The 27,643-nt window shown below is 40.2% G+C and overlaps 1 protein-coding gene and 1 long non-coding RNA gene across 35 annotated transcripts in view; both read left to right on the top strand.

The window, feature by feature from the left end:
* Nucleotides 1-27,643, top strand: part of SRPK2 (SRSF protein kinase 2) — a 284,618-nt gene that overhangs the window by 192,216 nt on the left and 64,759 nt on the right. For 33 of the 34 annotated variants that reach the window (XR_007060151.1, XR_007060150.1, XR_007060147.1 and 30 more), the window contains one exon: nucleotides 3,357-3,514. Coding sequence is in view for 22 of the 34 variants with exons in the window: in XM_011516536.4 (XP_011514838.1) it covers nucleotides 3,357-3,514 (158 nt within the window). In the remaining 12 variants the exon portion in view is untranslated. Of the gene's footprint in view, nucleotides 1-612; nucleotides 742-3,356; nucleotides 3,515-27,643 lie in introns of all 34 variants that reach the window. The other variant, XM_047420775.1, reaches the window with a different exon arrangement.
* LOC124901718 (uncharacterized) lies at nucleotides 3,522-14,715 on the top strand. The gene is made up of 2 exons (XR_007060466.1): nucleotides 3,522-4,710; nucleotides 6,121-14,715. It is a non-coding gene; the product is annotated as an uncharacterized LOC124901718 (long non-coding RNA).

Below are 27,643 nucleotides of genomic sequence, written 5' to 3'. Positions count from 1 at the left end.
AATAATCCAGCCCTAAGACAGTATGGCTTGGCTTTCTCTTCTCTATTTCTGCCCTAGGAGAAATTTACCTTGATTTTCCTATGTGGTAGACAGTAACAAGGATGGAGGGATGAAAAAGAATTGGCGGTTACATTGAACTGAGACTTTCTGTGATGAACTGAGTGATTTGAGTATTGGTGATAATTAGTATGAAGTAGGTCATTAGAAGTCCTAGGAAAGATAATCATCACTTATGGCCAGGAATCTCTCAACGTGAGGCTGAAATGCCCCTCAGTACAGGTTGGATCTGAAAGGTCCAGAGTTCTACCATCCACTAGAAATACTCGTGTATAAAACATTTTAATATTGAGCAAGTAGAAAATTATTAATATAATATTTTTACTTTTTTGGGTACTGAGTCTTGGCAATCTAACATGTATTTTATACTTCTGGCACATCTCAGTTTGAACTAGCTACTTCATGTGCCCGATAACCCCACGTGGCTGGTGGCTACTGTATTGGGCAGCACAGTTCTAGATGTTTTGATATGACAGCCAGTTGAACTATTAATCAGCATTACTAAACCTCCTCTATACTTTGGGGTATCCTGACTTACCACTTTTCATTTGGTAGAGCTGGCTTTTAAGAAGCTTTCTGTCTGCCTGTTCAGTGTGGCCCTCACTGGAGGAATGAGAAGTGCCTACACACTTAGACTGCAGGGTCTGAGAATTTTGAGGGTCATCCATGTAGGCAGCTCAGCAGGTAGGTAAAGAGTAAGTGAGAGAGACATTATAATGAAGGTGCGGGAATCTCTCAAGTGAGAGAAAATGGTGGTGAAAATTAGAATCTCTTCTCCATACTGCAGTCTACTCCATTGAGGTAAAGCCATATATAGAAAATGCTACTAGTGCACTGGTTCTCAATGGGCATGACTCCCCTCCTCCCCCAGCACACACACATTTGTCAGTGTCTACACGCATTTTTGATGGCCACAGCTGGGTGGTGGGGTGGGGGTGGGGGGCTGTGTGCTACTGACATATAGTGGCTGGAGGGCAGCGATGGTGAAAAGCATCCCACAGTGCACACGACAGCCCCACAGCAATGAATTATCCAGTCCAAGAATCCATTGTGCTAAGTACAGTAGTGCCGTGCACTGGCAGCACAAGAGCCATCATTTCTTGTCTTTTCTTCAAGTAGTTTCTACAGCAAACTCAATGTGTGTGTGTGTGTGTGTTTTCAGAGAATGTACTCATTTTTTATATAAAGTTTCTGAGTTAGGAAGAAACAGCTAGCTTTCAAAGTATTTCTCATTGAGGAAATGTGTCAGACAAATTGATTCTGCCCACACCCCTGAAGAGTGGGTTGTGCTTCTTTTGGACGTCATCTCAAACCTTTTCCTCCCGCTGGGGAAGTGGCAAACTACTGAAGTTCCTTACTTGCCTCTCCTCCTTCAGAACTCTCTTTTGCCTGGGACCATTCCACTTTCAGTAAGGGCACATGTGTTAAAAAGAAGCGAGCATTTACATGGCTTCCAGAAAGATTCTTGTACTTCTGTAAGGCCTGTTGGAAGTTTTGAATGTATTCTGGAAGTGGTGTGTGTGTGTGTGTGTGTGTGTGTGTGTGTGTGTGTGTGTGTGTGTGTGTGAGAGAGAGAGAGAGAGAGAGAATGAATATTATTCTCTTTCAGGGCTCTGTGAAGAGAATGGTTAACTTGGAGTGTTATCATCACTACAATCCTGATGTCTGTTACCCAGGGAGCTGTAACTGTTGAGTCTTCATAAATTCCAGAAAGCAGCAATCAGTACATTTTCAGCTTATAAATATTCTTTAGTTGTCCTGCTAAAGATATTCATACCTTTGATTATTTGCCTTTAAGTTGACCTATTGTGTGTGATCCCCACCCCTTCCTCATGATGTCAGGTGTTTCTGCTGCCTTCTATTCCTACTCCTTCCTTCAGTTGTGGCCGTATGGGTTTTTTTGTTGGCAAGCCACATGCATTAGTGGTGGTGTTGGAGGCTCTCAGATTGGGCAAGGATTTAGAGGCCCAGTTTAGAAGAGGCAGTGGTTGAGGCAGCTCCTTTGGCCTGTCTCTTAGTGGCAGCTACAGATGAGCTTGCATTGCTAAGACCCTGACCTTCTCAAGATTCCAGGGCTGAAGAGTGAGCTTTGACTGTATGCCGCAGGCTGTGCTGCAGTGAGGAGAGAAAGGATCCAGAATCGGCCTTCCACTGGGCAGAGAGCAACAGTGTTCCAAAAGGAAATCTAGCAATAACACCAAGATTCCACCTGCTCTCAACAACTAGGGCTTAGGTCTTTGAACTCTTCATTGACAACGGCTATACCCTTAAAATAGGGCGCATGCTGGGTGACAGCAGGTGCATGGTGTGAGGAACTGGTGCTAAAGAATTTTGCTTGACCAGAACCAGACCACAATATGTTTGTCAAGCTTGTTCTTCTAGACGCAGCAGGCCTGAGGGCTGCCGTTGCAGAAATGCCCCAAGGAATGGCACTCACATGTCGGGCAACTGACCCTCAGAGCAACCTTTCCACAGCAGCCGTCATCTTCAGCGCACGCATTCAGTGGTAGTTTTATTAGTGGGATAGCTTAAGGGAGAGATGTGCTTCCGGCATCCAGATTGAGACTGTAGGGTCCTATTTCCCCGCACTGGGGCATGGTTAGGAATAGTAAGTGAATCCCATTATGAACCATTCTCCTCATAGAGCCCTGAAAGGGAATAATCTCAATCAATCAAACACACACACACACACCGCTTCCAGAATACATTCAAAACTTCGAACAGGCCTTATAGAAGTACAAGAATCTTTCTGGCAATCTTGTATATTTTAGCTACAGTGTATGTTAATCAGCTTTTATGAGTTATTGAAACCTAACCTCATTGCCACCTATTTCTATGGGAAAAGAATTCTCATTTTCAGATAACAGGAAATAAGTGCTTTCAAAAGTTGAGTGCTGCTTGCGCCTGTCTTTTTATAATCGTTGTGATGTTTTCTAACCAATAAGGCTATATACCATGGAATACGCTTTCATTTCACTTAAATTTCCCAGAATTGGTAGGAGTTGAGTGGAGCGCACTGAAATTTCCTAACATTGGTAGTTCTTGAAGCGCTAAGTGAAAAGATACCTACAGAAAAAAATTCCTTAGCTAATAAGGGCAGATTTTTTTTTTTTTTGGCCTGACTTATATGTTGAAACACTACTTGAATTCAACTAAAATGGGTGAAGTGACATTAAATGACATTTCTTCTTAGTATGTGACAAGTTTTATTTTTTCCCCCATATTAAGAAGTGCTCAAATGCATCCATAATGCAAGATGTACTTCTAAGTAAATAGCAATTTTCTCTCTGCTCTTTCAGGCCGGAGCCTCAACAGAAAGCTCCTTTAGTTCCTCCTCCTCCACCGCCACCACCACCACCACCGCCACCTTTGCCAGACCCCACACCCCCGGAGCCAGAGGAGGAGATCCTGGGATCAGATGATGAGGAGCAAGAGGACCCTGCGGACTACTGCAAAGGTGATGTGCCAAGCATGGTGGTGTGGGGCTTGCCTTCCCCATTGGGCTGTGTAGTAATTTGTTGGGGGAATGGACAAGGGGAGGAGGTAGTGATGCAAATTGCTTGGTCTTCATTAAATTAGCCTCCTTGTGTCATTATCATTTTAAATTCTTAGGTCATTGTATAGAGACTGATATCAGAAAATATTAAGTGATATGAGAGAGAATTGTAAGACAAAATACATGTATTTGTACATACATATTCTAGGTACTTTCAGAAGGACTTAAATCTGTTAGAATTAAAGGTAGTATACAGCAGGACAGTTAGAGGACATAATAAACCATCTAAAAGGAGCACTGGGCCAGTGCGGTGGCTGAAGCCTGTAATCCCAGCACTTTAGGAGGTCGAGGTGGGCAGATCGCTTGAGTTCAGGAATTCAAGACCAGCCTGGGCAATGTGGTGAGACACTGTCTCTACAAAAAGTGCAAAAAATTAGCTGGGCATGGTGGTAAGTGCCTGTAGTTCCAGGCACTTGGGGCGCTAAGGTGGGAGGAACACTTGAGCCCAGGAGGCAGAGGTTTCAGTGAGCTGAGATCGTGCTACTGCAGTCCAGCCTGGGCGGCAGAACCAGATCCTGCCTCCAAAAAATAAAGTACAATAAAAACATTAAAATAATAAAAGAACATAGAGAGGAGAAAGTGTACCAGGCTCCTGAGGGGAGCTAATTATAACTCTTGTGCACTGTATTTGACTTTCTGTTTTCTGACTGCTAAGGCTAAAAGAAAACCATTCCTTTCTTTGTGTAGCATTGAATTACATAGCGTTTATTGTCTGTGGGAAGCAAGCATGCACATTTGTTTACAGAGAAAGATTCTTTCCTGGCATTGTACTTAACGAAAAAGACATTCTGTGGGGTTCTGCCATTGTGTGACATAGTGGGTTATGTTTTCAGCTATGATTTCACGGAAGACACAGAAACTATTCAAGTGGAGTGTTCTTGTATTGATGCTTTGTAAAGACCAAGAGTTAAACTCCTAAAGGGCAAGCGTGTTGTGTGATGAATATTAAGAACAATATGATCTAGACACCATGCTTTGTGTGGACCCAACTGAGAATCTAGGAGAAAGAGAAATGACTATTCAGCTGCTTCTTTGTCACTTAACTTACTGATTTGGACATTAATTTTCTGGAATTTGGAGCTCCTGAGCCAAAGTTGGTGAGATGAATTTATTTGCTACAGATTTTAAAAATTGTAAATCAGATTCTATATAGCATTAGAATAAATGGCAGAAAATGCAGACATGTTCAGAACATAAAGCATTAATGAATTTTGGGTTCCATATGTCTTAATAATTCATCATTTATCTAGTAGATATAGATCATTTGTATGTTGGTTCAGAAACAGTGTACATTTAATTACCTGCTAAGAGGAAGAGAAAGTTACTGTACTACAAAAGTGTAGGAACTAATCTACTCTAACCTGATTCTTTCATAGGTGCACGTACTTCCACATAGAATCAGTGTGTTCCTTAGAAAAGAGTGTAGATCTTACTTAGCATTTGTCTGAATAGTGGTTACAACCCCAAAGATCTATGCAGTCTAGTAAAAGAAAAGATAGAGCCAGTTTGAAAGGTGACAAGAAGGTGTTTTCCATCCTCCCTCTTACTCTTCATTTCTTATACTGTCTTCGATTTTTCTGCTGAGGCCCAGCATTAGGTTCATCTGTAGGTGCCATTCTTTTTTCTTTTCTTGTTTTTTCTTTTTCTGAGACAGTCTTGTTCTGTTGCCCAGGCTGGAGTGCAATGGCGTGATCACAGCTCACTGCAGCCTCAACCTCCTGGGCCTGAGCAATCCTCCCATCTCAGCCTCCTGAGTCCTGGGCTTGAGCAATCCTCCCATCTCAGCCTCCTGAGTCTTGGGCTTGAGCAGTCCTCCCACCTCAGCCTCCTGAGCAGTTGGAACTGCAGGCATGTGTCACCACCCCTGGTTAATGAAAAGTTTTTTTTTTTTTTCTTCTGGTAGCGACAGGGTCTGGCTAGAACCATTCTTTAGGAGCTGTTTCCTTCAGCAAATAGGTTCTACCAAGCAGGAGTGAAAACTGTCTTGTTCATCTGGATCTTAAGTATGTGGGTCAGGAGATGTAACCAATACTCTCATCCCCTTACTATCTCTGGGAACCAGCACAGTGGACATCCAAACCCCAAATATAGGGCTAAGAATAAAGTATTCCACAGCCGGGGCTGTTTCTAGGTAACATTCACTGAACTCTAACCTTCACAGAGTATTAAAGTCAGCATCAGTAAGGTCATTAGAGATAGTAAGGTTCCCTCCTTATACCCGTGCCAGCCCCCCCCAAATTTGGTAAGTAACTTGTACCTTTAGTTAGCATTACATGTGACAGATGCCCTACTTTGAATTTTGTGGTATATTCCACAACAGTTTGTATAAGATTACTGACATATACATATTCAGGGAGTCCAAGGAATTGATTTGGAATGTCTGGAATAAGACCTGTGGCCTTCTCATTTTTTGTTCTTGGATAAAGAGATAAATCCCCTCACCCTCTGCCAGGACTGGTTGAGCTAAAATTACTAATATGGTGTTTTATCATCCCTGAATACTTTAGTACATTTTACCTACAATCAAGTACATTCTCCTATATATCAAAATACAACCATCAAGATCAGAAATTTAACACTGATACTTCACTACTATTCAGACCTCGGGCTTATCAGGTACTGCCAGTTGCCCAGTGTTGTCCATTATGTGTAATGAATCTGTGGCAGAAGCGCATATTCTGTTTTCTTGTTTTTGTAATTTCTTTTAATTTGGAACAGTTCTCAGTGTTTTCCTGGCTTTCATGTCCTTGACATTTTTGAAGATTGTAAACCGGTTATTTTATATAATGTTTCTCAATTTGGGATGCCACAGTAGTGATGTTGTCTTTTTGCATTAAATCCTTTCAGATGGTACACAGGTTTGATTTATTCCATTGGAGTTGATGCCTTCACTTGATCAAGATTGTGTCTGCCAGATATCCCTGACAGCTGTTCTTTTCCCCTAGTAATAAGTATTTTGTTGAGAGTTACTTTGAGACTACATATATAACCCATTCAAATATTTATCCCTACCCCCGCCGCCACCCCGGGCTGACTTTCTGTCTCGGGTGGACTGATAAATTCATGGATCTCTGTTTTATTCAGTGGGTTATGATCACTTACTCTCCTTATATGTTTTGATGCTTAGATTATCCCAAATTTTGTTCTTAGGAGCCCCTTCAGATTGGTTCTGTGTCCTTTTGAAATGCCTCAATCGTTCTTTGATCGTTTATTTTTTTGTTTTGTTTTGAGATGGAGTCTCGCTCTGTCACCCAGGCTGTAGTGCAGTGGTGTGATCTCTGTTTCACTGCAACCTCCACCTCCTGGGTTCAAGCAATTCTCGTGCCAGCCTCCTGAGTAGCTGAGACTACAGGCTCATGCCACCACGCCTGGTTAACCTTTGTATTTTTAGTAGAGATGGGGTTTCACCATGTTGGCCAGGCTGGTCTTGAACTCCTGACCTCAAGTAATTCTCCTGCCTCAGCCTCCCAAAGTATTGGGATTACCGGTGTGAACCACCATGCCCGGTCCTTTGATCATTTCTTTACCTTCAAGTACAGTAGGATATGCCAGGTTCATCTTGTGTTTTTCCTATCCCAGCCCTGGAGTCTACTCTTTTCACAGAGAATCCTGCTTTTTTTTTTTTTTTTTTTAAATTAAACAATAATATTTAGAAAGCTAGACCTGGGCATTAGGTGTGCTTATTACTTTTGGCTTGTCACTTTCAGATCTCAGTACAGAGCTAGGAACACAAACATATGCACCTGCTTCCTTTATGTTTATATTTATTTATATATTTACATATGTTTTGAAATCCATGAGTTTATTAATCTGATACCTCTAATACCAGAAGATTCAGCCTGGTGTTCTCCCTTTCCATCTTTGTGGTTTCTTTCTCTGATAGTAAGAGTCTGGGCTCTTCCCATCCTCATTGCGTTGACTTAGTTGATTGATTTCCCTGTATGGTATGAATCACCAGTCACCATCACTATGTCTCTCCCTTCCCTTCTCACCTAACTCATGCTCTGACATCCTTTGTTGATTGGCCCTGCCTCATGGCTTGGGATTTAATGGTCCAGGATGGGAAGGGGAGAGAGCTTTCCCAGGCTGGTAGTGTGTGTTATGTAATCTGAGGTATCATTTTTCTTCTGATACTTCACCTCTTTCTCTTGCTTTTATTGACTTCATTCCTGGAGAGTCTCTGCCCTCAATTACTTCTCAGTTTCCTCAAAATACAATTAAAAAAAAATTAACAACAAAAGACATCACATGTATTTCTTTTTAAAAATAAAATTTGTTCATCACAGGAAATGTAGACACTTGGGTTGGAGGGCAGAAGTCACCTGTGATCCCACTACTCAGCAAGAGCTGCAGCAAGCCTTCATCATTTATGATCAGCTAGATTACATCTTAACTTTTTACCTCATCTTTACAAGTTTCCCTTATTTAAAATGTATGAACCCTCAGCTGTTTTAATAAGAGGGTCCATATTTAAAGTTCTGATATTGCAAAAGCATTGTTCATTGCTCTTGTGTACTTACTTGCCTTGGTATTCTCTCTGGAGTAGGACTCTTCATTTCCTGACAGCCATGTTCCTACTCGCGTTATCTTAGATCTCCAAGAGGATTATGGCATTATTGACTGATTCCTGAGCCTTGGTTCAAAACCTGGCTGTGTTGCTTTGTAGCTCCGTCTTCTTGGACAAATTCCTTTCTCTTTAGGCTTTGGTTTTTCATCTATGATATGATAATTTATATTATATTAATGTTAATACCTAAGATTTTTATGAGGATTTAAATGAAATATATGAAGTTCATGACACAGTATCTGATACGAGGCTCATAAGAAATATGAGTTTCACTCTTCTTCTGTCTGTTCTATCATTCTTCTTTCATTGTGTTCTCATCTGTACTTCATGCTGTCTATACCCATCAGTGCTGGCTCCCTTAACTCCCTGACCGTGTCTCATGTTGGGTGTGTTTCCTTAACCTCTGGAGAGAGAGCTGTCAGCACTGCCTATCTTTTTTACATATCACCTCTGGTCTGTTGTCTGGGCACAAGCTGTAGCAGTAGGCTGTGCAGTTTATTCAGATTCTGCTTCCAAGCCCTGGGGATTACCAAGATCAGGGGCAGGGTCAGCCTGTAAACAAACACTGTCGGGAGGCCTTGTGTCATACATGCTTGTTTCATGAGTTTGAGCAAAAAAAACCTGTGTCACAGCCAAACCTCCTTTTGTGGGAAGATTTGTGTTTCATGTGGGGTTTTCAGAGGCAGTAGGGGGTGCCTGGTAAACATTCCTAGGCTGCACTGTAAACCCCTGAATTGGAATCCTTGAGAGTGGGACTTAGGAATCCAAATATTTAACAAATTCATCAGTGATTTTTCTGCACATTGAACACTAAAATCTGCTCCATTCTAAGGTCTGCATGTATCATCCTTCTAAAACTCCAAGGATATAACCACATGAAGGCACCCTTCATACTATACGTGCAATATAAGCGGAATCATTGCTTTGAACTACCTTATGTTCCTAACTTTTTCCAGAACCCTCGGTGTATACCTGCTACAAGGACATACTAAATGGTGACTGTAGGAACATTGCCTTGCAATATCAGGCTGCCTGTAGTAGCTGTCCTCAGACATGAGTTTTGTTGCTCTCTTAAATCATTCTTAGATAAGTTGGCACCTTTGTACAGTTTTCATCTCTTGAATTATTTCTGGAGACATCAACAGCTGTGGTCTGACTTGGTATGAAAACATGTCATTTCCTTAGAAATGCATTTATTCGACCTCTAATCAGACCCTTTCCTTTATTACCCACGGTATTGTCCCCCGCATCCCCAACTTATCATAGTGTGGAATTGTACATTTATTTCTGTGTTCATGTATCTCCCCCTCTCTAGTCTGAAAGGTTCCCTTTGGTCAAGGCCCTGTAGTTTGTTAACTCCACTGCATTTGAACCATCCATAATGCAGTACGTATTTTGTTTGGATAAAGGCATTTTCTCTAGTGTTGGGTTGCAAGTACGGGATAGGCAGAGTGCTGATGTTCAGGTGGATCTGGGGAAGGCATGTCGGCATGAGCAGGCTGGCATGCTGACTGGCAGATCAGAATATAGGGCCTTTGTTTCTGCCTCACGTTTTCTTAAAATCATCCATAGTTCTCCGGAATACTTAACCTGTCACACACATTTGAGTGACATATATTTCTTACCTGTAAAAACTTAGGGACATTATTTTCTTCAAAATAGAGCATAAAATATTATAAGTATACACACTAGAAGCATGTCAGATGAGTTTCTTCCTATACACAAATTGCCTTTACCCATGTGTGTCTATTTTCCATCTGTGAAAACGGTAGACTGGTTGAATTTTAATAACTCACAAAATTTACTGTTGGTGGCTATTTGCTGTCATTGGCATCCCTCCTCCCTTTCTCCTTCCCTCCCTGCCCCCCAACCCTCCGAGTCTATGACTTTGATTTATTTTATTTTATTTTTTATGAGATGGAGTTTCACTCTTGTCACCCAGGCTGGAGTGCAATGCTGCAATCTCCACTCACTGCCTCTACCTCCCGGGTACAAACAATTCTCCTGCCTCAGCCTCCCGAGTAGCTTGGATTACAGGCATGCACCACCATGCTCAGCTGATTTTTGTATTTTTAGTAGAGATGAGGTTTCACCATGTTGGCCATGCTGGTCTCGAACTCCTGACCTCAAGTGATCCGCCTGTCTCAGCCTCCCAAAGTGCAGGGATTACAGGTGTGAGCCACTGTGCCCAATCTGTGTTGTTTTTTAAGGAAAAAAAAGCAAAGAACCTTAAAGCTGCTTTAGAATTGATATTTGTACAGTAAAAAGAATAACAAACAAAAGAAATATTTGTACAGCCAAGTAATGTTGGCTGTGTTACATCAGAGGTTCTTCGCTGGGTGCGGTTTTGACCCCTGGGAGTCCATTTGTGAATGTTTGGAGACATTTGCTTGCCGTGACGGGCTGCTACTGGCATCTCTTGGGCAGAGCCAGGGATGCTGCTAAAGGTTCCACAGCGCACAGGACAGTTACCCATAACAGAAATTACTCAGCTCCTAATGTCAGCAGTGCCCAGATGGAAAATCTCTGCCATAGAAATGCCTGTTTTTGTCTATTAAAATGGTGTTGTGTGGCTGAAGTATTTTATAGACGTGTGGTCTTTACTTTCTGTTCCTTTTGATAGAAAGATAACCTTTCTTTATTCACAGTTCTTTTACTTAAAATCATTAATGCTGCACAGATACTTAATTCACTATGCTTTTCATTTATTAGTTGGCTTAATTTGGCTTAATTCAAGCCTTAAAAAGAAACCCTGCCTATCTATGTGAACAAAGCAATAGATGCTCTTGAACCTATTACATAAGGCCTCATTACATTTCTTTTATGGAGACCAAGGAGATTCTGACTCCTGATCTGTTGGTGCTTTAAATTGACAAGGATATTTATGATACAAGCTTTAAATAGCATGACAGGTGAGTTCATGGTTTATTCATTGAGGCTTGATGATGTGCAAAACGTTGTACTTTACTACAGGGCACATAGAGGTAAATGAGAAACAGCCCTACTTTCTAGATTATGGCCTCTTAGACTTTGCCACTAGAATGCCAGCTACTTAAGGGCAGAGCCTTGACCTGTCTAGCTTCCCTGGCACCCCAGTAGAACAATCTGTGGCCTGCTGAATAGTGACTGAATGAATAGACTGCTCAAATATCTTTTTTTTCATCTAAGTGTGGTTCGTTAATAATAAGTGAGAAAAGGGAAGATATGTGAGGGCTAAAAGGAAGAATGTTATATTTGAATAGAGGACTCAGAAAAGATGTTATAAAAAACTGAAAGGGACTTTGTCAGTAAAGAATATTTGGATGATGTTGAGAGTATGGGGCACTACTCAGACTAAATCCTGGAGGCAGAACAAGGTGTAAGAAGCCCTAACTGCTTGTGTTTTCCTAACAAATGGGGAAACTAAAAATTGATGGTAGAAGATTAGGTTTAAAAGCAGTTTGGGAGCATCATGTAGAGGATAGAGATGAGTGTGAGAAATTTGTGGTGAAGTAACTTTAAAGCATCACTTCAAAATATTACCAAAAATCCCCACAGAAAACCGAAAGAAAGCAGAGTAGAAACAGAATCCTGGTGTTATAATCTCTCCTCTTTTTACAAAACATATTTAGCAGGCCGGGCATGGTGGCCCACGCCTGTAATCCCAGCACTTTGGGAGGCCGAGGTGGGCAGATCACGAGGTCAGGAGATTGAGGCCATCCTGGCCAACATATCGAAGCCCTGTCTCTACTAAAGATACAAAAAATTAGCCGGGCACGGTGGCACGCGCCTGTAGTCCCAGCTCCTCGGGAGGCGGAGGCAGGAGAATCACTTCAACGTGGGAGGCGGAGGTTGCAATGAGTTGAGATTGCGCCACTGCACTCCAGCCTGGGCGATAGAACGAGACTCTGTCTCAAAAAAATAAAAACAAAAAATAAAAATATATTTAGCAAAAGAGCAGTGCCAAAATGTCAGCAGTATGTGGTAGGCCTGAGGTGTTTTTTTGAAATATACTTTTATCTTGTTGCTGCAGCACCATTTATCGAGAAGACTTGTTCCCCCACCTATTCAGTTGCTTGCCTTTGTCCATCAGTAGACAGAATGTATGGGGGTTTGTTTGTGGACTCCATCTGCTCCATCCCTCTTTTGGTCAATGCTTGCTCTAAAGGTCTGGTTACTATAGCTTTGTATAGCATGCCTTGAATGGGTAGTGTCAGTCTTCCAGCTTTGTGCTTCTCTTCCAGGATTGTTTTGACCTGTCTCGATCCTTTGCATTTTGTATAAATTCAGAGTCAGCTTATACATATAAATTTTAGATACGCCTTAATAATATTGAATCTTCCAACCCATTAACATGGTATTGTGTCTGTTTATTTAGGTCTTTATTGTTCTCAGAAATGTTTTGTAGTTTTTGGTGTGGTTTTGATGGGTTATAGAAATGTAACTGATTCTTATGCACCAACCACGTGGCCTGTAACTATGCTGTTTGCTTATTTATTAGTGTTTGTGCATGTGTAAATTTCTCTAGGTTTTCTCTACACACAATCATTTCATCATTTCAGGGCAAATGGAGGTTTTTCTTCTTCCTTATGATTCTTTATAAATTATTATTCTTTTTTGCCTCATTCTTTTATGCATGAGGTTGAATAGAAGTGGTAAGAATAGACATCTCCCTTGTCTTGTTTCTAATCTTACAGTGAATATGTAGTTTTTTTTTAGATACCTTTATCAGGTTGAGATGGATCATATATTTAAATATAAAGTTAAAACTGTAAAGTTTCTAGCAAAAAGTAAGAGAATATCTTCACAACCTTGGGAGTAGGGAAGGATTTATTAGAGAGCATATAAGAAACATTAACTATAAAATAAAAAATTAATTAGACTTAATCAAAATTAAAAACTGTTCCTGATTAAAAGACATTTTTAAAAATGAAAAGACCAGCTTCAGACTGGGAGAAGCTCTTTGCAATACATTTACCTGACAAAGAATGTGACTGGGAGGGAACTTCAAGAGTGAGATTTTGGAAAAATGTTCTGTATATTGATTAGAGTATATGTATTTGTCAAAAAGCAGGGAATCGTACACATAAAACCTTTGACTTTCATTGCATGTAAATATCTGAATTTTAAAAAACATTGATAGTAGCTAGTTACATCTGGATTGTAGGGTTTTGGTTTTTGTCTTCTTTACCTCTTTGTATTGGTTTTCTTTGTTTTCTGCATTGAGCATATATTTCTTTGTAAATACAGAAGAATATGTGCTTTTACTGCTGAAAGAAATCATAGACGACACAAACAAATGGAAACACATCCCATGCTCATAGGTGGGTAGAATCAGTATTGCGAAAATGACCATACTGCCGAAAGCAGTCTACAAATTCGGTGCAATTCCCATCAAAGTACTACCGTCATTCTTCACAGAACTAGAAAAAACCATCCTAAAATTCACATGGAACCGAAAAAGAGTCTGCATAGTCAAAGCAAGACTAAGCAAAAAGAGAAAATTTGAAGGCATCACATTACCTGATTTCAAACTGTACTGTAAGAGCACAGTCACCAAAACAGCATGGTACTGGTATAAAAATAGGCACATAGACCAGTGGAACAGAATAGAGAACTGAGAAATAAACCCAAATACTTACAGCCAACTGATCTTTGACAAAGCAAACAAAAAAGGGAACAGACACCCTATTCAACAAATGGTGCTGGGAAAACTGGCAAGCCATCTGTAAGAGAATGAAACTGGATCCTCATTTCATACCTTAAACAAAAATCAACTCAAGATGGATCAAGGACTTAAATCTAAGACCTGAAACTATAAACATTATTAGAAGGTAACATCGGAAAAATCCTTCTAGACATTGGCTTAGGCAAGGATTTCATGATCAAGAACCTAAATGCAAATGTGATCAAAACAAAGTTAAATACCTGGAACTTAATTAAACTAAAGAGCTTTTACACAGCAAAAGGAAGAGTCAGCAGAGTAAACAGACAACCGAAAGCGTAGGAGAAAATCTTCACAATCTATACATCCGACAAAGGACTAATATCCAGAAACTACAATGAACTCAAATTAGCAAGGAAAAAAAAATCCCATGAAAAAGTGGGCTAAGGACATGAATAGACAGTTCTCCAAAGAAGATATACAGATGGCCAATAGACTATGAAAAAATGCTCAACATCACTAATGATCAGGGAAATGCAAATCAAAATCACAATGCAATACCACTTTACTCCTGCAAGAATGTCCATAATCAAAAAATCAAAAAATAATAGATGTTAGCATGGATGCAGTGAAAAGGGAACACTTCTACACTGCTGGTGGGAATGTACAGTAGTACAGCCACTATGGAAACCAGTGTGGAGATTCCGTAAAGAACTAAAAGTAGAACTACCATTGATCCAGCAATCCCACTAACTGAGTATCTACCTAGAGGAAAATAAGTCGTTATATAAAAAAGTTACTTGCTCATGCATGTTTATAGCAGCACAATTCACAATTGCAAAAATGTGGAACCAACCCAAATGTCCCTCAATAAATGAGTGGATAAAGAAACTGTGGTGTGTGTGGAGTACTTCTCAACCATAAAAAGTAATGAATTTTGGAGCAACCTGGATAGGATTGGAGACTCTATTATTCTAATTGAAGTAACTCAGGAATGGAAGACCAGACATCCTATGTTCTCTCACTCATAAGTGGGAGCTAAGCTATGAGGATGCAAAGGCATAAGAATGACACTGTAGACTTTGGGGACTCAGGGGGAAAGGGTAGGAAAGGGATGAGGGACAAAAGACTACAGACTGGGTTCAGTGTATACTCTATCGGTGATGGGTGCACCAAAATCTCACAAATCACCACTAAAGAACTTACTCATGTAACCAAACACCACCTGTTCCCCCAAAACTTATGGAAATTAAAAAAAAAAAAAAAAGCAGAAGCAGAAGTGGAGCTTTTAAAAGGAATAAGTGGACCAGGCATGGTGGCTTACACCTGTAATCCTAGCACTCTGGGAGGCCAAGGCAGAAGATCATTTGAGCTCAGGAGTTCAAGACAGCCTGGGCAACATATTAAGACTTTGTCTCTATTTAAAAAAAAAAAAGTTTTTTTTGTTTTTTTTTACAAAAGGATAAAAAGAACCAGTGTAGGTTTTAAAGAGGGAAGTGCTATATTTAAGGAAGCTTAATTTGAAATCTTAGTTGATTGACATTAAAGAGAGAGAAGATACAAGGAGAAGACAAAAGCAAACAATGTTATGGAGGTACCGTCTTTATTATTCAACAATCTGTTGAGTATGGAGGGCAGTGACCAGAAAACCCCACACACTTCTAAGTCCTGGAATAATCAGAAGAATAGTACCTTCTGGGCATCATTTATTTTAGTGTACTCTGAATTATGAAACTGCTTTTCTTCCCCTTCCCCATAGAGATAGAGTGTCTCATTCTATTGCGTAGGCTGGAAGGCAGTGGTGTGATCACAGCTCACTACTACTACAACCTCCCAGGCTCAAGCTATCCTCCTGAGTAGCTGGGACTACAGGTCTGCATCACCATGCCTGGCTGATGTTTAAATTTTTTTGTAGAGACAGGATTCACTATGTTACCCAGGCTGTTCTTGAACTCCTGAGCTCAAGGAATCTCCTCCTGTTTCTGCCTCCCAAAGTGCTAGGATTGTGGGCATGAGTCACCATGCCTGGCGGATTTTAAAAATGTTGATAGAGACGGGGTCTCCCTATGTGTCTCAGGGTGGTTGTCATTTCTTTTTTGCATTGGATATCGTTTGGCTATGAAAAAGCTCTGAGCCAAATGTGCAGCCCACCTCTAACAAGTGAACAGTAATTTATAGCATGCATTCTGTATCCTAACTTCACTGTAGCATTATTCTGTTTTACTTTTTCTGGGCTATTTTTTCTGTGCCCCAATTTCTTTCTAATTTTGTATCTTATATTGTGGTTTTATAAGCTGCCTCAATTCCTTATAGAAAAAAATAGTGTAACATATATTAAAACATCACATCATACCCCATACATACAATTATGGCTTACTAATTAAAAATAGCTTTTTAAACAAGGTGAAATAATGTTGGCATTATTAGTAGAAACAGTGAAGTCGCAGTTGGATTGGGGAAGATGTTGATGAGTTTGACTGTTGATGGAAATATCAAGAAGGTGGTTAGAAATATGAATCGGAGAATCAGAAGTATCAGCAAGCAGGTGGTTTAGTAAAGAATTTAACCTTGCCTAAAGAGATATCTAGCCTTTGTCCTTGGAGCCTTCCAAGGGCATAGAGATCTGGGTGCCTTGGGCCACACCTGATAGTCTAACAGTGTGGCACATTATTGAACGTGAGGATGGTCTTTGGGACCCCCAAACTCTGTGATTCATGTCAGAAGGGAAGGCAGTTGGTGGACTGTTCCCAAACCTTACACAGATATTATAGATTTGATAGGTAAAACAGATCATATAATGGTAAGTGGTTTAAAAAAACAAACAAAAAAAGGATGCAGAGAGGCTGTTCAATGACAAGCCTTTGAGAAATTTAATGGAATGCAAGAGGAAAAGGAACACGTACAAGAAACAGACATAGCAGTCAAGGAGGTAGGAGAGCAACCAAGATATGTGTTCATTTTGACCTAGAGTGGACTGAGATGGCAGCCGTGGTGTTATTCTGAATGACACATTCCTGAACACATTCAGTTGTGTAACCCAAAGTTTATATTGTTTGAATATAGATGGGCAGTCATACTTGCAGTCATTCCAGATGTCAGTGGCTCTTGTCCTCACTTGTCAGCCCCTGCATAATCTGCCCTTTTGGATCTGGAAGTCGCCAGAGGGAGCGCAGGATCCAGACCGGAGTCCCCATGTGTGATCTGTTGTGATCCTCCTTCCTGCTCCTGGCCTGCTCCTGCTGGTGCTGCCATTACCCACTAAGAGAATGCTGTGGCGTTCTGCCACAAGGCTGTCCCCACTGTACTCAGTGCCAGAGCACAGTTGTGTGGCATGGCAGTGGTGAGAGACCAGTTCATATGTCTGCAACAGCCCCATGCCATCACGCCACAGCGTGCCCACCACCCCTATAGCCAGTGGCCTCACCCACTGGTCCCTGGAGTCCAGTTTAATTTTTTAAAAATTTGTAAAAAGAGTTATAAAAGAACTTCTAGTCAAAAAGACCAAAGCCCATGCCATCATCACACTCCTCAGATTCTTCTTTGTTTTTCCTTTTCTTTATCTTTTTCTTTTCGGAGACCGAGTCTGGCTCTGTCACCCAGTCACTGCAACCTCCGCCTCCCAGGTTCAAGTGATTCTTGTGCCTCAGCCTCCTGAGCAGCTGGGATTACAGGCATCCGCCAGCCCACCCATCTAATTTTTGTATTTTTGGTGGAGACTGTGCTTTGCCATTTTGGCCAGGCTGGTCTAGAACTCCTGGCTTCAAGTGATCTGCCCACCTCAGCCTCCCAAAGTGCTGGGATTACAGGTGTGAGCCACTGCATCCGGCCGAGATTCTTTTTTCTTTGCTTACACTTCCTTCTCCTCAGCTGGAGCAGCTGCTCTGGACAGGGCAGGACCTACTGTTGATGCAGCAGCAGCTGCTGGAGCAGGTCCACCAACCCCTACATTAGGATGAGTCTCTCGATGTCACCATAGGCCAGGGCCTTTGCCAACAAACCAGGCCGAAAAGGTTCAACATTTACACCACCTACTTTAATTAGGGCCTTGATTTATCCTCTGTGACGGTCACCTCGTTCATAGTGAAGAATGAGGGTGGAGTAGATGCAGGCGAATTCAGGGGCTGTGGTGCGGGCGAGTGGCGGGGCTGGTGCTGCTGTTGGATGCAGTGCAAGTTGCTGGATGAAGTGAGGGCCTCTCCCCAGTGTGACTGTAGCTTTCCCAGAAGTACTGAGCCCCTTGGCAGCAGCTGAGGAAAGGGCTGGAGTCTGGGTTTAGAAAGTGTCGACAATTAACATGGTGGCTTCTTCTTAGCTCATTCTCTGTCCCTTCCTCCCTCCACCCCCTTTAGGCTCACTGTAGCATAAGGGTTTTTTTCCTTTTATGCTCCCAGCTAAAAGCTGGAACACTCTTGCAAGTCTTTTTGTTAGTTGGGGCTATCCACCAATTCTCTTTAAGGGCCCAGGCATGTTTGATTCTTATTTGGGATCTAAGGTAGTATTCTAAAAACATTTACAAACAGAACCTGTTACGAGTAATATCTTTTCTCTTTTATTTCCCATTTGGTGCTAATTTAAAAATGGACTGTATTCTTAGAGTTCTTTATTCAGATTTCACTCCTTAACATTGATGTTCTGGATTCAGTAGAATTGTTAAAATTTTTTCCTCTTTGTTTTGGATCCTGTTTTAACCTGGAATTGAAAAGAGTGAAATGAAGTAATGGAGTTCCAGATTTTGTTGGGGATTTTTTGTCTGGTTTATGTTGACTAGGAAGCAGTAATTGAAAACATGCTATTTTTTCCCTCATACATTTTAAAAAATTGAGATATAATTTGCAAACATAACATTCTCTGCTTTAAAGGGTACAATTGTGTGGTTTTCAGTATATTCACATAATTTTGCAACTCACCACTTTAAAATTCCAGAACATTTTCATCATTCTCCAGAAGAAATGACTGTCCATTGACAGCCAGTCCCTATTCTCCTCCCCTCTACAACCCTTAGCAATCACTAAGCTACTTTTTGTCTCTATTCTGGACATTTTCATATAAACAAACACAATACATCACTTTTTGTGTTTGGCTTCTTTTACTTATAATGTTTTAAAGATTCATTCTTGTTATACCATGTATTTTATTCATTCATTTCATGATTAATATTTCATTTTCTGGATGTATCACAGCAGTTCATATACATTTGGGTTGTTATCACTTTTGGCTATTGAGAATATGCTGCTGTGAACATTTGTATATGAGTTAAAGTGTACATTTGTTTTCATTTCTTTGGTATGTATCTAGGAGTGGAAGTGCTGGGTCATATGGTAATCACTTAAGGAGCTGTCAGATTATTTCCCCAGATGGCTGTGTCACTGTATATTCCCACCAGCAATCCTATCTTGGTTATAATTTACTCACCTTTGTCCCTTTTATGTTTATTTTTCTTGTGACTTACTTGCTTCTGTAATTCTATTATAATGAATGAGTTTTACCTATTTTTTTAAAAAACCTTTGATTGATCCTGTCAATGGCCTCTTCAGCTCTGCTTACTACACCACGCATATTCACCATGAGACTTTAAACCTGAACGTCTGGTCAGACACCCACACCAAAATCCTTCCCTTGGACAATAGTAATTTTGCCTGTGTTGGTAACACACTGAGATGGTGGTGGTCTTTCCAAGGCTATATGGTCTGAGGTATAAAAAAAGAGTTTTCAAGACGGAAGGATTTAATAATAGCATTTAGTTTAAGCTAAATTTCAGTTTCAGGAAGGTAAAAGCTGACAGGAACAGTGAACTACCTGTGGGGAATTCTCTAGAGACTCATGTGTGGGGCCAGTGATGAGTCAGGCAGATGTCAAGGTGAGGATATATTAGCAAAGCATAGCAGATTATTCGGTGAAATTTAGCAATGAAATGATTGTAGCTTCTAGGGAGTGGGGTCAGATTTGTGCAAGAAAAAGCATTTATTTTAGTGTGACATATCTGGGCATATTTCTAGGCAGAAGAGATAAGGTTTGAGTAGAGTTGAAAGGCCAGCAACAAAGGAATTAAATGAGTGATTTTTGGAGCTAGTTGATCAGTCTTTTAAAGATTGAAGGCACATCTTACCTGCAGAACCGAGGAGGAGGTTTTGCATAGCTGTTGTGGTGAGCAGAATAAAGACCGTTGTGATTATTGTTGTATAATAAATTATCCTCAAACTTAGCCTTAAACCCCTTTTTAATTTTGTTCATGATTTTATGTATCAAGAATTTAGAAAAGACAAAGCTGGGATGGCTTGCCCATTGCTTCACGGTATCTGGGGCCTCAACTGAGACATCTCAAGGGCTTGATGTGGCTTCATGGCTGGGGACTAGAATTAACTGAAAGCTTACATCTGGCCCCTGGGCTAGAAAGATAAACAACTAGGACAGCCTTATGGAGCACCTATCCATGCCCTTTGCATATGGCTTGGCTTTCTCAGAGCATGGTGGCCTCAGAGCAGTCATACTTCCTACCTGGCAACTTAGAGTTCCCAAAGGTAACACACACCTTCCAGAGTGGAAGCTGTGTTCCTTTTATGACCTAGCCTCAAAAGTCACACAGTCTCATCCACTATATTCTTTTTGGTTAGAAGCACATCAGACGCTCATTCAGTTTCATGATTAGAGTCCATTTCTTGATAGTAGAACATCAGAGTAGAAGGGATAGTAGAAGAGCAGGTAGTTGGGGAGATACTGTTTCGGCCTTTGTTGAAGAACACAGTCCGTCAGAATACAGCAACAAGAAATCAATAAAGCAGCCATAGAGAATGAAATGATTTCCTTTGCAGCAACATGGATGAAGCTGGAGGCCATTATTTTAAGTGAAAAAACTTAGAAACTGAAAATCAGCTACTGCATGTTCTTTCTTGTAAGTGGGAACTAAACAATGGGCACACATGGACTTAAAGATGGAAACAATAGACACTGAGGACTCCAAAAGGGGCAAAGTTGGGAGGGTGGTGTGGCTTGATAATTACCTATTGGGTATAATGGTCACTATTTGGTTGATGGGTATACCGGAAGCCCAAACCCCACCATTGTGTAATATATACACATAACAAACCTGCACATGTACTCCCTGAATCTAAAATAAAATTTAAAAAGTAAAAACCTATAAGCAAGGGCATTCTTCCTACTGTCAAATGATACAACATTCATAGAAATAGAGATTTGTGTAGTTTGAAAATACCTTATATAAATCAAGATGAAACCTTTATTTTGCAGACATTAAACCTAAAGTTGACTGATAAAGACATATTCGTCCCATAGCCCAGAACATTCTAGGGGAATAAAATCTATAAAAAGATGCAGACTTCCAAATATATGTAGTTATAGTTATGTAGGTACAGTAAACTAACCCCCTTTTTTAGGACATGTATTTATCTAATTCTCTTTTTGTCTGGCATGGATTATAAGCCTTCTAAGCCTAGAGTCTACTAAGTATGTCTAAATTGCTATGTTGGGTGCCTAACAAAGGAGTATGTACAAGTTGGTGCATGAGTTAGACTTTTTGATGGTGATTAAACTGGAAAGCATGAATTATTCTTGGATTATAAAACTAGGTGGGGCTTTCGAGTGAGGCTCAAAAATCAGTTTTGTTTTCCACATAGAGACCTTTTACTTATTCTTTTTGTAGTCAGTTTGTCTCTAAGACCTTTTTTCTCTTTCTCATTTTTTAGAATAATTAAGAATTTCATTAGAGTAGTTTAGAATTTAGATTATTTACAGTGTATTATTATTATTATTTTTTGACAAGAGAACGTAACATACACCTGGGAACATGTCTTCAGTTATGAGTCAGACATGGATATGTGCTATAATATATACCCTTGCACTCCATGAACAGCAGGAGCCTGAAATAGGTCCTAACCTTTGGAAGGAACTTAATTTTTTAGTTATATTTTGAGGTTGGAATGTGGATAATTAGGGCTTTTAGTTTTAAACAGCCAGAGAGCTGTTTTCTGAGTTATTTTAATTGTTAAATTTTTTTAGTTACTAAGAATTTTTTCTTTTAGATATAAATCTTATTTCTTTTTCTCTTTTTTTAATTTTTTCTTTTAAAAGAAATCTCATGTCTTAAGTGGATTCTGATTTCTGAATTCTACTTTGACTCAGCTAAGACTTTCTCATTCTAAGATCAGTTATGTTTCTTCAGTTCATAATTCAATATATTATACATTTATTTATCTGAAACATAATTAAGAACCGAGAAATGAGCCCAAAGTTTTTGAACAGATACAAACAATGTCCAAGTTCACGTACTAAAGTTCATGTACTCAAGCTCATGTTCTTTATTCTGGAGGAAAGTCCTTTTAATGATCTCATAGAATGTCTACTCCTCCTTTGCCCATGAAACAAGGAGAAGGTTAAGAATAAGAAGGAATTAGAAATAATATATAAAAACTATCATAAAGTCCCAATAAACATTGCAGCCTAGATAAAGTGGTAAAATTCTTAGATGGAAAGACCACATGACTTATTAGGGGATAACCAGATTGTTATTAAGTATTTTTGCAGCAAAATGTTAGGCCAGAAGACACTAGAGAAGTACATTTAACATACTCAAGGAAAGAAAATGTCAGTCAAATATTTTACATCCAGCCAAACTGACCTTCATTATACAAATCTCATACAAACTGTTATATACATTTAAGCACTGAGGGAATATTGTTCTTTTGAACACTGAAGTTAAAAGCTTCTAGCAACCTAAATCAAGGAAGAGGCCTGTATAGACATACAGACTGCTTTCATTAAAATACAAAGTATACCTGAAAAATCAAATCTGTAGCATTCCTCTGGGACACTTAGCTTATAGAATACTATTAAGCGTCTTAACTAGACAGTTAAATGGACTTGAAAGATCGTGTATTTGGTTTCCATAGAAATTTAAGGGTAAATTTTATAACAACATATATTTTGTAACAGTGGTTTGGATTATTCTGTCAAGGTATCCTAAAGAGAGAAATAGCTGTGTCTGGCATTATGTATGTAAGAAATAAAGGAAAAATATTAGTAATAGACCAGGTGTGGTGGCTCACTCCTATAATCCCAGCACTTTGAGAGGCCAAGGTGGGCAGATCATTTGAGGTCAGGAGTTCGAGACCAGCCTGACCAACATAGTAAAACCCCGTCTCTACTAAAAATACAAAAAAAATTAGCCAGGTGTGGTGGCACATTCCTGTACTCCCAGCTACTCCGGAGGCTGAGGCAGGAGAATGGCTTGAACCTGGGAGGCGGAGGTTGCAGTGAGCTGGGATCATGCCACTACACTCCAGCCTGCACAACAGAGAGACTCCATCTCAAAAAAAAAAAAAAAAAAAAATTGGTAATAGTGTACGTTAACTCTTTTTAGTTATGGAATCTGAGATTTACAGGGTATCAGTATACTTAAAATACATTCAGCGAAGTTGAACACTTAGTTGTATTTGTGTGTATGAGAAAAAACAGCTTGTTTCCCAAATTACAGAGTCAAGTAAATCTCTAGACATGGCCTCTTAAAAACAGCCACGCAGGGCGTGGTGGCTCACACCTGTAACCCTAGCAGTTTGGGAGGCCAAGGTGGGCAGATCATTTGAGGTCAGGAATTGTAGACCAGCCTGACTAACATGGTGAAAACCCCATCTTTACTAAAAATACAAAAAAATTAGCCAGGTGTGGTGGCACATGCCTGTACTCCTAGCTACTCTGGAGGCTGAGGCAGGATAATGGCTTGAACCTAGGAGGTGGAGATTGCAGTGATCTGGGATCATGCCACTGCACTCCAGCCTGGGCAACAGAGTGAGACTCTGTCTCAAAAAAACAAAAATAGACAAACAAACAAACAAAAAAAACCCGCTAGCCATTTACGATCTGATATGTTAACCATTGTGCAGTTGTAGGATTCCTGCTGATCCCCAAGTGCATTTAAAATTGTGTTCTAAAGTACTCTTGGTATTGAGACATGGTTCTGGAGTGTTCTAGACTAGAATGTAGATTAGGATTTTAGTTATTGGCTTGTATAGTAATGTGACTTTGCATTGTGAGCTCTTATTCTCTAGGGTTTTTTCTGAAAAATCAGTATCAGTATATTGAAGAAAATTTTTTACACAGCTACAAACTTATAGCACTAAAATGACAAAAAAAGATGATTAGTCATAAAAACATAAGAGATCCTTATTTGTATTTAAATAATTTTCTTTGTCTAGAATTTGATTCCAGCTTTGTAAATGTATGGAGCTTTTAGTGAACTTTAACTTCATAAATGTTTGTGGATCCCGTGATAGCTTGGCTCAGGATCTTGTAAATACTATCACAGCTCAGTCTTTCTTACTAGTTTGCCTTGAGTACTACACATTTTAATTTTACATTGTAATAGAAATATGATTTTTTTTTCCCCTATACAGTTGTCTTCGTAGTGTTTTATATGATACTACTTGGGATATATTTAGATTAGTAGTTTACTTTCCCTCCTTCTGGTCATAAGAGATAAGGGGAAATCTTCTAATAAATACTTTGTTAATTTTTTCCTTACAAGTAACAAAGTCAAAACTTGCCAGGCACTGTGGCTCACGCCTGTAATCCCAGCACTTTGGGAGGCCAAGGCAGGTGGATTGCTTGAGGCTAGGAGTTTGAGACCAGCCTGGCCAACATGGCCAAATCCCATCTCTACTTAAAAATAAATAAATAAAAAACACAAAAATTAGCCGGGCATGTTGGTGCACATCTGTAATTCCAGCTACTTGGGAGACTGAGACACAAGAGTTGCTTGAACCCAGGAGGTGGAGGTTGCAGTGAGCTGAGATTGTGCCGCTGCACTTCAGTCTGGGCAGCAGGGTGAGACTCCATCTCAAAAAAAAAAAAAAAAGGCGGGGGGGGAAACAAAGTCACAAGTTTTGCACAAATCTCAAGGCTCTTCAAAGTCTGATTCAATGTACCATTCTTGTTTTCTTTCTCAGCCTCAAACATAGTTAATTTATTTCACCTTAAACTGCTGTGCTTGTCGTCATGCTATCCTTTTTTACGTCAGGGCTTTCCTCTTTTTTGCTGTTAGAGTATACGGTTGAATTTTTTTTTTTTTTTTTTTTTTGAGACAGAGTCTTGCACTTGTTGCCCAGGCTGGAGTGCAGTGGTGTGATCTTGGCTCACTGCAACCTCCACCTCCTGGGTTCAAGCGATTCTCCTGCCTCAGCCTCCTGAATAGCTGGGATTACAGGTGCCTGCCACCACGCTTGGCTAATTTTTTTGTATTTTTAGTAGAGTTGGGGTTTCATCATGCTGGCCAGGCTGGTCTTGAACTCCTGACCTCAAGTGATCCACCCGCCTTGGCCCCCGAAAGTGCTGGGATTACAGGCGTGAGCCCCCGCGCCTGGCCATCTCAGTTGAATTTTAGCCTACATTTGGTTTTTGTGTGTGTGTTTTCTGTTTTTTTTTTTTTTTACTTTTATCTTAGGTTCAGGGGTACATGTATGTGCACATGTGTTATGTAGGTAAACTGTGTGTCACGGGGATTTGGTGTATAGATTATTTCATCACCCAGGTAATAAGCATAGTGCCCTATAGATGTTTTTTCTAATTCTCTCTGTTCTTCCACCCTCCATCCTCAAGTATGCCCCAGTGTCTGTTGTTCCCCTCTTTGTGTCTTTGTGTTCTCATTGTTTACTTCCCACTTATACATGGGAACATGAGGTATTTGGTTTCTGCTCCTGTGTTAGTTTGCCAAGGGTAATGAATGGCCTCCAGCTCCATCCATGTTCCTGCAGCGGACATGATCTTGTTCTTTTTTTATAGCTACATAGTATTCCATGGTATATGTGTACCACGGTTTCTTTATCCAGTCTACTGTTGATGAGCATTGCTTCCATGCCTTTGTCATTGGGAATAGTGTCGCAGTGAACATACACGTGCGTGCGTGTGTCTTTACAGTAGAACAGTTTATATTCCTTTCGGTGTATACACAATAAGGAATTGCTGGGTCGAATGATAACTCTGTTTAAATTTCCTTGAGGAATTGCCATACTGATTTCCACAATGGCTGAACTAATTTACACTCCCACCTGCAGAGTATAAGCATTCCCTTTTCTCCACAACCTTGACAACATCTGTTAATTTTGTGACTTTTTAGTAGCCATTCTGACTGGTGTGAGATGGTGTTTCATCGTGGTTTCAATTTGCATTTCTCTAATGATTAGTGATGTTGAGCAGGTTTTTATATGCTTATTGGCCGCATGTACGTCTTCTTTTGAAAATGTCTATTCATGTCCTTTGCACACTCTTTAATGGGGTGGTTTTTTGCTTGTATATGTGTTTAAGTTCTGTGTAGATTCTGGATATTATACCTTTGTCAGATGCTTTGTTTGTAAATATTTCTGCCATCCTGTAGGTTGTTTACTCTGTTGATAGTTTATTTTGCTGTTCAGGAAGTTCTTAGGTTCCCTTTGTCAGTTTTTGGTTTTGTTGCAATTGCTTTTGACATTTTCATCATGAAATCTTTGCCAGGTCCTATGTCCAGAATGGTATTTCCTAGATTATCTTCCAGGCTTTTATTTTTTCTTGTTGTTGTTGAGACAAAGTCTTGCTGTGTCACCCAGGCTGGAGTGCAGTGGCACCATCTCGGCTCACTGCAACCTTCATCTCCCGGGTTAAAGTGATTCTCCTGCCTCAGCCTCCCCAGTAGCTGGGATTAAAGGCATGCGCCACCACACCTGGCTAATTTTTGTATTTTTTTAGTAGAGACAGGGTTTCACCATGTTGGCCAGACTGGTCTCGAACTCCCAACCTCAAGTGATCTGCCTGCCTTGGTCCCCCAAAGTGTTAGGATTAGAGACGTGAGCCACTGCACCCAGCCTTTCCAGGGTTTTTATAGTTTTAGGTTGTACATTTAACTCTTAATCCATCTTGATTTTTGTATATGGTGTAAGGAAGGGGTGCGGTTTCAGTCTTCTGCATATGGCTAGCAAGTAATTCTAGCACCACTTATGGACTAGGAAGTCCATTCCCCATTGCTTGTTTCTGTCAGCTTTGTCAAAGATCAGCTGGTTGTAGGTGTGTGGCATTATTTTTGGGCTCTCTACTCTGTTCCATTGGTCTTTGTGTTTGTTTTTGCATCAGTGCCATGCTGTTTTGGTTACTGTCACCTTTTAGTATACTTTGACATCAGGTAACGTGATTCTTCCTGCTTTGTTCTTTTTGCTTAGGATTGCCTTGGCTATTTGGGCTTTTTTGGTTCCTTATGGACTTTAAGATCTTTCTAATTCTGTGAAGAATGCCATTTATAGTTTGATAGGAATAGCATTGAATCTGTAAATTGTTTCAGGCAGTATAGCTGTTTTAACAATATTGATTTTTCCTGTCCATGGGCATGGACTGTTTTTCCATTTGTATCATCTCTGATTTCTTTGAGAGTGTTTTGTAATTCTTATTGTAGAGATCTTTCACTTCCCTGGTTAGCTGTACTCCAAGATATTTTATTCTTTTTTTTTTTTTTTTTTTTTTTTGAGATGGACTCTTACTGTGTTGCCCAGGCTGGAGTGCAATGGCGCAATCTCAGCTCACTGCAACCTCTGCCTCCTGGGTTCAAGTGATTCTCCTGCCTCAGCCTCCCCAGTAGCTAGGATTAAAGGCATGCGCCACCACACCCGGCTAATCTTTGTATTTTTAGTGGAGATGCGGTTTCACCATGATGGCCAGGCTGGTCTCAAACTCCTGACCTCAAGGGATCCGCCTGCCTCAGCCTCCCAAAGTGCTCGGATTACAGACATTAGCCACCATCCCTGGTCTTTTAATTTTTTAAGTGACATTTACCAGCTGTAAATTATCATAC

Source organism: Homo sapiens, chromosome 7 (assembly GCF_000001405.40).
Source record: "Homo sapiens chromosome 7, GRCh38.p14 Primary Assembly".
NCBI lineage: Eukaryota > Metazoa > Chordata > Mammalia > Primates > Hominidae > Homo > Homo sapiens.
Note: the sequence above shows the minus strand (reverse complement) of the source record. Positions and strands in the feature narration are given on the sequence as shown.